The sequence below is a fragment of the Homo sapiens genome, chromosome 11 (genome assembly GCF_000001405.40).
Source record: "Homo sapiens chromosome 11, GRCh38.p14 Primary Assembly".
Classification (NCBI taxonomy): Eukaryota; Metazoa; Chordata; class Mammalia; order Primates; family Hominidae; genus Homo; species Homo sapiens.
The window spans coordinates 72,366,829-72,379,473 of record NC_000011.10 but is presented as its reverse complement, the minus strand read 5'-3'; the positions used below and the strand labels follow the sequence as shown (position 1 = coordinate 72,379,473).

The 12,645-nt window shown below is 43.2% G+C and overlaps 1 protein-coding gene across 8 annotated transcripts in view; it reads left to right on the top strand.

The window, feature by feature from the left end:
- The window catches only part of CLPB (ClpB family mitochondrial disaggregase), a 149,037-nt gene that overhangs the window by 55,058 nt on the left and 81,334 nt on the right, over nt 1-12,645 (top strand). For 5 of the 8 annotated variants that reach the window (XM_005274320.2, NM_030813.6, NM_001258394.3 and 2 more), the window contains one exon: nt 6,460-6,549. The exons of the other annotated variants lie outside the window; for them this stretch is intronic. In XM_005274320.2, coding sequence (XP_005274377.1) covers nt 6,460-6,549 — 90 coding nt within the window. The remainder of the gene's footprint in view (nt 1-6,459; nt 6,550-12,645) is intronic. 8 annotated transcript variants of the gene reach the window in all.

The following is a 12,645-nucleotide window of genomic DNA, read 5'->3' as shown; positions in this document are numbered from 1 at the left end:
TCTTCCAAAGTGGGATTGAAAAAAACAGCTGGTTGCTTTGGCTGCAGTCAGAAATGAGTATTTTACATTTGAGCTTTCGTTTATCCAGACTGTCGCCACTGCTTTCCCCTTGTCCTGGATCATTCACAGAGGCTGCGATCCCTCTGACATTGCCAGCAATAGGGTGGCTGAGCAGTGGCTGCTTTAGTGTTAGCAGTGATGCCAGGAGGACAGACAGCCTCTCTGACTGCCTGAGAGCCAGAATATTGACGCTGGGGGAAATTCAGCCAAGGGGAGCAATGTGCTCAGCCTTCAGAGCTGTAAGGCTGCCAGACTGACGTGGTATGTGGTAACTCAGAGTAGCGGTGTTGTTGCTGCCCCGGGGAGAAGGTTTCTCAAATCAGTGGCATGAGAGGAGTGTCCAAGAGCATTAAGGCATTGCTGCCCAGGTAAAGTTTGAAGTTACCCTCTCCCTTCCCTTCCACCTCTCTAAACCTGCTCCTTCTCTTAAGGCTCCATTGCTAAGGCTAGATCCTCCACAAAGGCTTCCCTGTCCTTGACAATAATTGCAACCTGCCCTCAGCTGTTCTTTTGAATGTTCTCTAGATCTTGGCCTCTTGTATGGTTACTTGAACTCTCATCTACCCATATGTCCTTTCTCTCCTCCTCATGTGCAGGCCATGATCTTTGTGTCCTTGTATTCCCCACTGAGCCGGAGGAATTGTGTTTATGTTTTAAACAGAGAATTTCATGAGTACCACCTTGCCCTCTATTTGCAGCCTGATATGTGGGGACTCAGCTTATGGGCCATCCTCTTCTCATTCAGGCACAGCATTGCAGTGCTCAGCTCTGTCTTCAGTTTAGGTGCTGATATGGTTTGGCTGTATCCCTATTCAAATCTCAACTTGAATTTATCTCCCAGAATTCCCACGTGTTGTGGCAGGGACCTAGGGAAAAGTAATTGAATCATGGGGGCTAGTCTTTCCCATGCTATTCTTGTGATAGTGAATAAGTCTCATGAGATCTGATGGGTTTGCTAGGGGTTTCCCATTTTTGCTTCGTCCTCATTTTTCTCTTGCCACTGCCATGTAAGAAGTGCCTTTTACCTCCTGCCATGATTCTGAGGCCTCCCTGGCCATGTGGAACTGTAAGTCCAATTAAACCTCTTTTTGTTCCCAGTTTCAGGTATGTCTTTATCAGCATGATGAAAACGAACTAATACAGGTGCTCTCACCAAAAAGCAAGGTGGAGCATTTGTTGAGAGGGCAGGGCCAGGTAGACAGGAGGGGATTCTTTTGAGTGCCTTCTCTTCTGCTGTCAGGATTCTAGCAGGGCTCAATAAACATTTTTTTGTTTTATAGAATCTCAGAGCTATGAAGCCATCTAGTCCAACTTCTGCTGTCACACTGATCTCCACAATGTACATTCATGTTTTGTAGCTTTGTGTTTTAATGGTAACCTCCAGGGTGATACTCACATTCAACATTGTAGATCAGTAGTCAGCAAACTTTCTAGAAAGAGCCAGATAGTAAACATTTAAGCTTTGTGGGCCAGTTGATCTCAGTTGTGACTACTTACCTCGACCATTGTGATACAGAAGCAGCCACAAACAATACACAAACGAAGTGATGTGGATATGTTTCAATAAAATGTTATTTATAAAAACACACAGCAGGCTGGATTTGGCCCAGAGGCTGTAGTTTGCCAACCCTGCTCTACATAATTTTCTTTTCGCATTCCTAGTTCAAGGTTACATAATTTCTTTTTCTTAGTTTTTCCTTCCTTCCTTCCCCTTCCCTTTCCCTTCCCCTTCCCTTCCCCTTCCCTTCCCCTTCCCTTCCCCTTTGCTTCCCTTTCTTTTCTTTTTTCTTTTATTTTCTTTTTCCTGGTCAACCTCTGGATTATTTTTAACTCTTATGCCAGACAGCCTACATTCTGGGTAGGTAGGTAGATAGGGAGAGATAGACAACAAAAATATTTGAAAAGGCTATCATGTCCCCTTATGAAATAACAATTAAAATATTAACTATCTCTTCTTATTTCATATGATCTGCAAATTTAGTAGTAGGCTTCCTGTGGATTCACTTATTTATTCAAAAGTATTTATTGATCACATTCCTGTATACCAGGCAGTGTTTTAAGCACTGATGAGTTAGACAGACAAGATCCCCTGCCGTCATGTTCTTACTTGGATTAAAATGTTTATAAAGACTTTATTAAACACAGAGTCCTAGAGCACATGGTCAGGATAATTTTGATGCATTATTCAGCATTCTCAGGTGTAATTCTACCAACCTTCATTCTTTTCCATCCTCCATTCCTCTGCTTTGTTCACAAAATTTTAAGAGCTTTTTCCCCATATTTCTTGCTAAAATTAAAATGTTTCTAGCATTTGTCGTATTTTCCTGTCTAATAACGCTTTCCAAAAAAGGAAATCAGGTTATTCTGGCATGTTGATTTATTGTTCTTAGGGAACCCATACTGGTACCCGGTAATTACCCAAGTGTTTAAGAACTGTTATAAAACGCTGGGCACTGTGGCTCACGCTTGTAGTCCCAGCACATTGGGAGGCCGAGGCAAGCAGATCACCTGAGGCTAGGAGTTCGAGCAGCCTGGCCAACATGGCAAAACCCCATTTCTACTAAAAATACAAAACTTAGCAGGGCGTGGTGGTGCATGCCTGTAGTCCCAGCTACTCAGGAGGCTGAGGCACGAGAATCACTTGAACCCAGAAGGCAGAGGTTGCAGTGAGCTGAGATCACACCACTGCATTACAGCCTGGGTGACAGAGCAAGACCCTGTCTCAAAACAAAAACAAAAACAAACAACTGTTAAAAAAAAATAATAATAATAACGTCCTAGAAGTTTGTCAGGAATCATTAATAAACTCACTGTGGCTTGCAAGATCTCTCTACCTTTTTTTTTTTTTTTTTAAATAATTCTAGACTACCTTTGTCTGCCACAGTTTTCTGGCAGCTGGCTTTATTTTCCTGGGTGTATCAGTTTGGATGTGCTCTGCTGTCCAACTTGGTGCACTGAACGTTCCGACTTGGACCTGGATAGTGATAGTCTTTTAGAATCTTCTCAGGGCTCTTCTCTCTCATCAGCCTAAGCCTTTAGCTTCGTCTTAACCATGTCTTTCCTTTTTCCGTTTAAGGAAACCTCATTTTTTAAGCCATTCAACCAATATATATTGACTGCCAATTGTATGCAAGGCACCATACCCAGCTCTGACTCATTCTCATGGATGAAATAGAAACAAAAGAATCCTGTAGTTCTCTTATTTTTGTATTGCATTGACTTTTGCATGAAAAATTACCTGACTTGTAGGGATGGGTAAGGAAGGTAGAGTAAAACAAGAGATGTAATTCCCTTTCCTTCGAGTGTGTCTAGGCAAATTCACAGGAAGTTCACAAGCTCAGGAAAGTTGGGCAGTCCTTTGCTGTTATATTAGACTATGGAGTCACTGCCAAGTCCATGAAGTCCACTAAATTTCTAATAGATATTTCTGTGGCCCTTGGAAGGAAGGTGTAGTTTGTGGCTTTGGCAAGACCTCTCTAACCTCCAATGATACATTCCTTTTCTTCCGTATCAGTATTGTTGTGAATATCAAGAGATAAAATATGTGATATGTGGATTGTAAAGTGCTCTACAGTTGTAATTGCTTATTAGTTTCATTTATGCATAATTCAGCGTGTTCTTACCGAGTATCAGGCACTCTGCCAGTTGCTGGGATTATATAAATGATTATACATAGTCTAGCCCCTCATCAGTGCTCCCAGTCATTTACAGAGACAAGCCTGTAAACAAGGAATCACAACGCAGAGTGATAAATGCAATGGTAGCTGCACAAAGTATGTAGGCAGCACTGCTGTAAGTATTGGTGAGCTCTACCTGAGAAGTGAGCAGGCTGGTGTCTGGGAAGTGTCACAGGGTAAGTGACCTTGAATTGGGTCTTAAGGATGAGTTGGAGATTGCCAGGAAGGCTAAAAGGGATGGACCTTCCAGGCAGAGGGAACAGTCTATGCAGAGGCGTTGGGTGGGGGTTAGGGAGTGACAGCAGGTGGAACCATCTGCTGCAGGATTGAGGAGAATAACAAGAAATAAGGCCGGAGAGTGAAGAAGGCTACACATAGGAAGGACCTTGTAAGGCAGTTCTAGGGAGCTCATTCTCTATTCTGAAGGCCGTTAAAGGATTTTAAGCAGGGCAATGTCGAATTCACACTTGCATTTTAGATGGACCATTCTGACAGGGTGGAGGAGGAATTGGAGGGGAAAGATTAGCAATGGTTCTTGACTTTTTAGGGATAATGGACTCCTTTGGGAATCTGTAAGAAGCTATGCTCCTGTCCTCCAAAAAAACATTTAAAATATCTGGAGATTCCTAAAGGTGATCTTTGGGAATAGAGTAAATAGATATTAGCAGAATATTAGAAGATTGAGTACTCAGTGGATTGTGAGAATTGATGGAAAAGGAGGTATGCATGGTGACACCTCAGTTTCCAATTTGAGTGAATAGTTAGATATGTGGGTCTGGAGAGCTCAAAGGAGTAGTTTGGCAGGAGATAGGGATTTAGGAGTATTTTCCATTTCCTTGGGAGTTAAAACAATAGATGTAACCAAAATTGCCCAAAGAAAGGATTTAAAGTGAGGGGGTGGTAGGAGGACAAGTCCTTTACTCAGGATACCAGCATTTAAGGTGTGAGCAGGAAAAAGGATCCAGGCAAGAAAACTAAAAGGTATCAAAGATGCTTTGTATCTGTTTTACCTGCTGAGAACAGACACAGCCTAGGGAGGAAAGAAACTTCTTTGCCATCCTTGCTGAGACTTTATCTTTGGTTATGCCATTCCTAGTGACACTCTTCTCCCATGTCATGTGAGCATTTGCTCTTTAGCAAGAAGCCTACTTAGCTGGGTCCACTTTTGTCAAAGTTGGTGTTTCTGGGTAGAGGGCAGTCTTACTGGTTCAGGTAACCCAAGGATGCTTGGTATGGAAATCTTGTTGGCCTGATTGTTCTTTGCTTTCCCTCCAGCCCTCAGAGTGGCATCTTCAGAGGCACATTGGTGTCCTAGAGAAAGATTGGGCTTCAGTACCAGATATCTGAATGATTCATCTAAGCTCTATTACTAGATGTGTGATCTTGAGTAAATGACTTAAAGTCTCTGAATTTCAATTTTCTCATCTGTAACATAGTAAAAACAATACCCATCTTATAGGGTTGTTAGGATGATTAGAGATAATCATATATATTTAAAGCACAGTGACATTTAATAAAGAATTTCTCTATGGAGGTGGGTTTTGGCAAAGTGTAAAGCAGGAAGCCTGCCTAGGAGGTATTGAGCAACTCACCACTCAAGGGGTACTAACAGCTGAGATGTCTGCCCATCATGGATTCTGTAAAGGGGATTCTCGCCATGGGTCATTGGATTATCTGGCCTCCGGTGCCCCTGTCAGCCATGTGATTTCTAATGTTTAGAAGCTCTAGGCTCACTATCAGAGCAAGTAATGTTCTTTTTTTTTTTTTTTTTTTTTTGAGACAGAGTTTCGCTCTTGTTACCCAGACTGGAGTGCAATGACATGATCTCGGCTCACTGCAACCTCTGCCTCCTGGGTTCAGGCGATTCTCCTGCCTCAGCCTCCCAAGTAGCTGGGATTACTGGCGCCACCACCACGCCCGGCTAATTTTTATTTTTATTTTACTAATACTTTTAGTAGAGATGGAGTTTCACCATGTTGGCCAGGCTAGTCTCTAACTGCAGACCTCAGGTGATCCACCCACCTTGGCCTCCCAAAGTGCTGGCATTACAGGGGTAAGCCACTGCACCCAATGTGATATTCTTGAAAGAAGTGGGATTTGAGTTGGGCTTTGGAGGATGAAGAGGATGGGGAAAAATAAAAAAGCAGAGGGCACAGCTTAGAATGTCTGTGAGATGGAATAAATGTAGAGAGAAGTATGAGGATCATAGCTGTTCCTCTGCCAACCTATTCCCTGATCTCAACCACATTCCATTCAGTGCCTTGAGCCCTACCCATGCCCACTCCAGGAGTGTTCCACTTGTGGCTGGCTGATGGGTGGGGGCCGTAATCCTCAGATGGAGGAGGTAATAAATTAGTGGTAACAGTAAACAAGTCGCCCAGCCGGGGTTGCCGCTGGCTGCTTATAAGTAACTGTTATAAACATTGGGTGTCTGGGGCTGTCAGAAATGCAAGCAAGCATTTTGAGTGCCTCTCATATGTACAATTAAAACAATAAAACACGGCAGAGACGCAGCCAGAGCAGGCTATAAATCAGCCTCTCTTCTCAGCTCCAAGTGGCAGCTGAATAAAGATGAGTGGGGCAGAAGCTGGGTTGGCATAGGGCCCTTCTGGGGGTAGAGGGCTTGGAACAACCCCACCAGCCTGAGTGCCCCCTTCCCAGAGCTCCAGGGCCTGCAGGACCTGGCCTGCTCCAGCTGACCTCCCCATCTCTGTGTCTTCAGATGGGGGACAGGACGGTGCAAGCCGGCACATCACAAACCAGTGGACAAGTGCCCTGGAGTTCAGGAGATGGCTAGGACTCCCCGCTGGCGGTAATGGAACTGCTCTGTATAATATTTCTCCCCCTCCCCAGGACATGCCAAGGATGGTCTCATCTGACTATCTCTTTTACTCAGTATAAGTTAACTACCCAGCACCCACTGTGTGCCCAGCCTAACCCAAGCATAGCAGAGAGAATGCATGCTCTTGGAGAGCAAAAACTCAGATGAGAATAATAAGGCTCCCAAGGAAATAAGAATCCCCTAGAGAGCTTGTTAAAACACAGGTTCCTGGACCCTACCCTCAGAGATTCTGATTGAGTATGTCTGGGGTGGGACCCGAGGTTTTGCGTTTCTAATAATAGGCTCCTACCCTTTGGGAAGCATGATTTGGACTACAGGTATTAGTTGTGGTGTTGTGCTTGAACTGCTTAAAAAACTCATCTGGGCCTTCACCTCCCTACCAGAGATCTTATTTTGCCACTTTAAGCTTCACTCCTAGAGAGGCTATGTGTTTAAGCCATGGTATTATATGTGTGCAGAACACTTAATAGCTCTGACACCTGGAGCAATTTTCTATACCTGCCAGAGGCACTGTCTCCTTATTTGTAAAATAAAGGTTATTGGGAGGCAGCATAGTACATTTACGCCTAACCTAAACCCCAGAACATAGAAGAAATTCTGTGAATGTAAACCTGTGTTTCTACATCCTCCTCCTCATATTCTTAACGGAATGTCAGTCTTTGACACAGCCTTCCAAATGCTTTCCTCTGGTAGCAAACCATTAACCCTCAAAGAGCCAAATATTATTTAGAGTCCAAGGAATGGCTTAGCCATTACCTAACTGTGTGACCTTGGCAGTTCTTCTTCGCTCTCTGAGCTTGATTTTCGCATCTGTAGAGAATAATATTTCCTACACCATAGGCTTATTTTAAGGCCCAAATTGGAGTACTTACGAAAGCGCTTGAGAAAATACAAGGCATTGTGCAAATGTAAGGTGCTTGCAAGAACAATAATTAGTAATAATAAAGATGTAAGACATTACCAAAACAATATTTGACAAAGGGTCCAGTCAGAGGTTCAGATAACAAGGACTATCAGAGCTCAGAGAAGAGAATCTGTGGCTGAGAAGTCAAGGAAATAAAATGACATTTGAGCCTCCAAGTATAGGAAGGTTTTGGACAGCTGTATGGAGGGTTGACAGGTGAGTGCAATTGAATGTGAGTAGAGAAGGGGTGTGCTATATTCAAAACATACAGAGTGGTCGAGTGTGGTGGCTCATGCCTATAATCGCAAGACTTTGGAAGGCTAAACCAGGAGGACTGCTTGAGCCCAGGTGTTCAAGACCAGCCTGGGCAACATTGTGAGACCCCATCTCTACACAACTTTTATTTTATTTTATTTTATTTTATTTTATTTTATTTTATTTTATTTTATTTTATTTTTGAGACAGAGTCTTGCTGTGTTGCCCAGGCTGGAGTCCAGTGAGTGGCATGATCTCAGCTCTCTGCAACCTCCGCCTCCTGGGTTCAAGCAATTCCTATGCCTCAGCCTCCTGAGTAGTTGGGATTACAGGCATGTGCCACCATGCCTGGCAAAATTTTTTATTTTAGTAGAGACAGGGTTTCACCATGTTGCCCAGGCTGGTCTCGAACTCCTGAGCTCAGGCAATCTGCCCACCTTGGCCTCCCAAAGTGCCAGGATTAGTAATGAGCCACCACGCCCTGCCCAATATATATATTTTTTAATTAGCCAGGTGTAGTGGGTTGTGCCTGTGGTCCCAGCTACTCAGGAGGCTGAGACAGGAGGATTGCCTGAGCCCAGGAGGTCAAGGCTGCAGTAAGCCATGATCACGCCACTGCACTCCAGCCTGGGTGACAGAGCAAGACCCTGTCTCAAAAAACAAAAAAACCACTCAGATATGAGAAACAGAAAAATTATGTTTCACGCTGATAGACGAACATGTTAGGGTGAAGCAGGCACACAGCAGAAGATTCATCTTAGAGAGTAATGAGCAATAAAGATGCAACATTAGTAGAATAGGACCAGATCAAGACTCTTGGACTTTATCCTTTAGACAGAGAAGAGCCTTGAAGGTCCTAAAGGAGAGGGCACTGCAGGAACTGATTCCTTCCAGGGTAGAGAAGCAGAGGGAGGTGATAATGAGATGACGATGATGATGATAGCTGCAAGGGTAGCAGATAATATTGATTGATACTTACTTTGTATTCACAGTAACCTTATGATGCAGGTACTAAAGGAAACTAAGGCAGAGTGAGGATGTCAAATGCCAGCAGAACTGCCTCCTGCTCTTGTATAAGACCCAGCAACCATATCAGCCTGCATGTGCCCCCAGCTTAGTCAGCTCAGATCTCTGGCTTGTCCAAAGGCTTGGGAGAATCTGCCAGGCCAAAAGCTGTATGGGCAATTTATTATTTTTAATAATGTCACAGCCCCTTCCTCATCCTTGTCCAGGCTCACTCAGAGCCTTGTCACACTCCATGGCCAATGTTTCTACATGTCATTTCTCCATAGTGCTGGTTCTGGCCACCATAGAGTTACCAGGATACATTTTGGCCAACTGCATGATTAAATGAATCAGCCAGTTAGGTTAATTATTTCCATCCTTTTAGCCCTCCAAACTGTGTGTGTGTGTGTGTCTGTGTCCTAGGAGAGAGAGATAGACTAGTTGACATGTTTTATTAAACAGAATAAATTTGATGCATTTATAAAAATAAGAAACAATAGGATTGGGTGGCAAAGAACTAGTCTTATGATTTTTAACTGATTTACATATTTTGTGTATAAATATTTTTTCATCAAAAGTTCCAAATCAGGGACGGGTCCCACACACCACACAAAATATATTAGAGACATTTATATGGATAGCAGGAAGGGAGACAGAGGGCTGAAATTTTCCAGGCACCTAGTGATTGATAGGGGCTGAGGCTCCCCCTGACGCTTTATTGAGTTTCCGATGATTATCTCTCACTGAGACATTTTTTACAGATGACGGTCGAGCTGTCACAATGGACCATGGGGGAAAAAAACCCAACAATAATAACACTTTAATCTTTTTACTGCACTGCTCCCTAGTATCTCAGATTCATCTTCCCTGACGCACGCAGTTCATTATTCTGCCCCTCCCTGGATGGGAAATAAAGGAAAATAAATATATATGTAGACACACTTACCCACATACATACACACACACAGACTATATAAAAGAGACCACCTCAGAACCAGAGAGGGGCAGAATTTATTGTTCTTTTTGCAAGTGTTGAGGTTTATTAGTAGAGATGCTGGGTTGGCTTGGAATTGGCTATTAATTACAGCATTTTGTATTTGTTTTTTATTGCGAGTTTTTAACATCTTGAAGAAAAGGCAGAGGAGAGGCAAGCAGGTGTAGAGACGGGGAACACAGAGGGACCAAGTTTGACCAACCAAGTAGCATAGCTGCCGAGAGGCAAAGAGCTGCCACCTTCTTCTTGTTGCCATCCCTGCCCCAGAGGATCCCTGGAGCTCAAAGAACACTGCTTTGGATAGGATGGGGGTGGGGGAGGAGGGGGAAGAGGGTGACCTCAGGGTACTTATAGGACAAATCTAAGGGAATCTAGATACTTGTGAGCATGTCACTACTCTGAGAGTTAGGCGAGATAGGAAGTAGAGGAGGTTAAAACAGAGTTTTGATGGGTCTGTAGATAACCGACTAACAGATTCTTAAGAGTTTACCCCACCTTATGAATTTGGTGGTGTGAAGGTGAGATGTGGGCTCTGGAAAGCACCCCCTGGGTCTGCACTAAAAAGAAGGGTCCTGAGTCAGAGAGGATGCCGCACTGACTGTCATGGCCACAGGCAGGGACAATAGCCTGTCTTCTTCAAGTTCCTTGCCATCCTTCCTGGTCTCCCCCTTCCCTTTCATGGAGGTGAGAGAAAATGTGCTTGGGGTCCCTGTGGGAAGGCTGCCCTTGAGGTGTCTCCAGTGGAATAAGTGTTGACCCAGTCTTTAATTCATCAGCTCTATTCTGAGCCCCCATGCTACACTAGGATGGGGTGATAATGAGGTGAGGTCCTATTCCTAAGGAGAAAACTTCCAGTCCATGGGCAGAAAGCATGATGTCTGTGAGAACCATTTTCAAGTAGGGAATGGTCCTCCAGCCATCGGCCAACCTACTTGACCATGAGTGCCTTCTCTATATAAAGGATAAAGACATGTTGAAGACACAGTGTCTGTCCATCAAGAATGTGTTTCCTGCCTGAGGAAGCTTAACATCCATTCACTAAAGAAGTGTTTATTAAGCAACCTGCCATACTTAAGAGAATATACATGAAACAATCTGAGAACACACAAGACTATGTAAAAGGAAATGTTTACTAATTTGATGTAAACAGAAGGCATAGAGGAAAGGGAGATCAGTGAAATCAAGATGCTTGAATTGTAAAGTGTGGGTAAAATGTGCATAAATAAGAGAAAGCATAATAAAGCCATGTAATCACTTAGAGAAAAAGAGTTATAAGCCTTGGAGTTGAACTTTCCAGCTCAGTCAGTGACTGCCAGTGTGACTTTGTAAGATACATAACTTCTCTAAGTGTCAGTTTCTTCGTTTAATGAATAGGAATAATAATATAACAGCCTAGTAGGATTCTCATGAGAATAGTCGTAAAGTTCCTGGCACAGTACCTGGGCACATAGTGAGTGTTCAATAAATGGAACCATTATTTTCTTACTGTTCTGTTGTATATTTAGTTGTCTGAGTATTGGAGGAAAACTCTTAGTCTTGGGATGTTAGCCTTCAGGACTCACCTGTGACTCTCCACTAGTATGAAATGGGCTGCCTCGAATGAGCCTGACATATTCTACAGTGTTAGTGTTAGAGGTGATCCTAGCCAGTATTGGAATGACATCAGGAAGAGGAAAGGGTACAATAATGAATTTATTACCATTTATTGAGTCCTTACTACATGCCAGGCAATATGCTTATCTTCTTACATATATTTTTTAACCTAACAGCTTTATTAAGTTTTAATTTACATACTATACAATTCACCATTTGTTTTTATGGAGTGTGAATTATATATCAATAAAAAAAGAAAGAAAATGAATTATACAAGAGCTTAATATAAAAAAGCTTCTCTTCCTCTCCTCTCACACCTCACTAGAATTCCTACCTCATTTCTTTTTTTTTTAATTTTGTATCAAATATTTTTATTTCAACTTTTCTTTTAGATTCAGGGGCTACATGTGCAGGTTTGTTACCTGGGTATATTGCATGATGCTGGGGTGTGGTGTATAATTGATCCCATCACCCAGGTACTATGCATAGTATCCAATAGTTTTTCAACCCGTGCCCCCCTTCATCCCTCCCTCCTCTAAGAGTTCCTGGTGTCTATTGTTGCCATCCAACAGGGTACTCATGTCCATGAGTACCCATTGTTTAGCTTCCACTTATAAGTGAGAACAGGTAGGCTGGGCACAGTGGCTCACGCCTGTAATCCCAGCACTTTGGGAGAACATGCAGGCTGGACACAGCTCATGCCTGTAATCCCAGCACTTTGGTAGGCCAAAGCAGGCGGATAACTTGAGGTCAGGATTTCAAGACCAGCCTGGCCAACATGGCGAAACCCCAACTCTACTAAAAATACAAAAATTACCCTGGTGTGGTGGCACGCGCCTGTAGTCCCAGCTACTCGGGAGGCTGAGGCACGAGAATCACTTGAATCCAGGAGGCAGAGGTTGCAGTGAGCCTAGATTGTGTCACTGCACTCCAGCCTGGGCAACAGAGAGAGACTCCATCTCAAAAAATAATAATAATAGTAAGTGAGAACATGCAGTATTTGGTTTTCTGTTCTTGTGTTAATTTGCTTAGGATGATGGCTTCTAGCTGCATCCATGTTGTTGCAAAGGACATGATTTCATTCTTTTTTATGGCTGTGTAGTATTCCATGTAGTATCCCATGGTATAGTACCATGTTTTCCTTATTCCGTCCACCACTGATGGGCACCTAGATTGATTCTGTGTCTTTGCTATCGTGAATAGTGCTGTGATGAACATATGAGTGCCTGTTTCTTTTTGGTAGAACGATTTGTTTTCTTTTGGATATATACCCAGTAATGAGATTTCTGGGTTGAATGGTAGTTCTGAGTTCTCT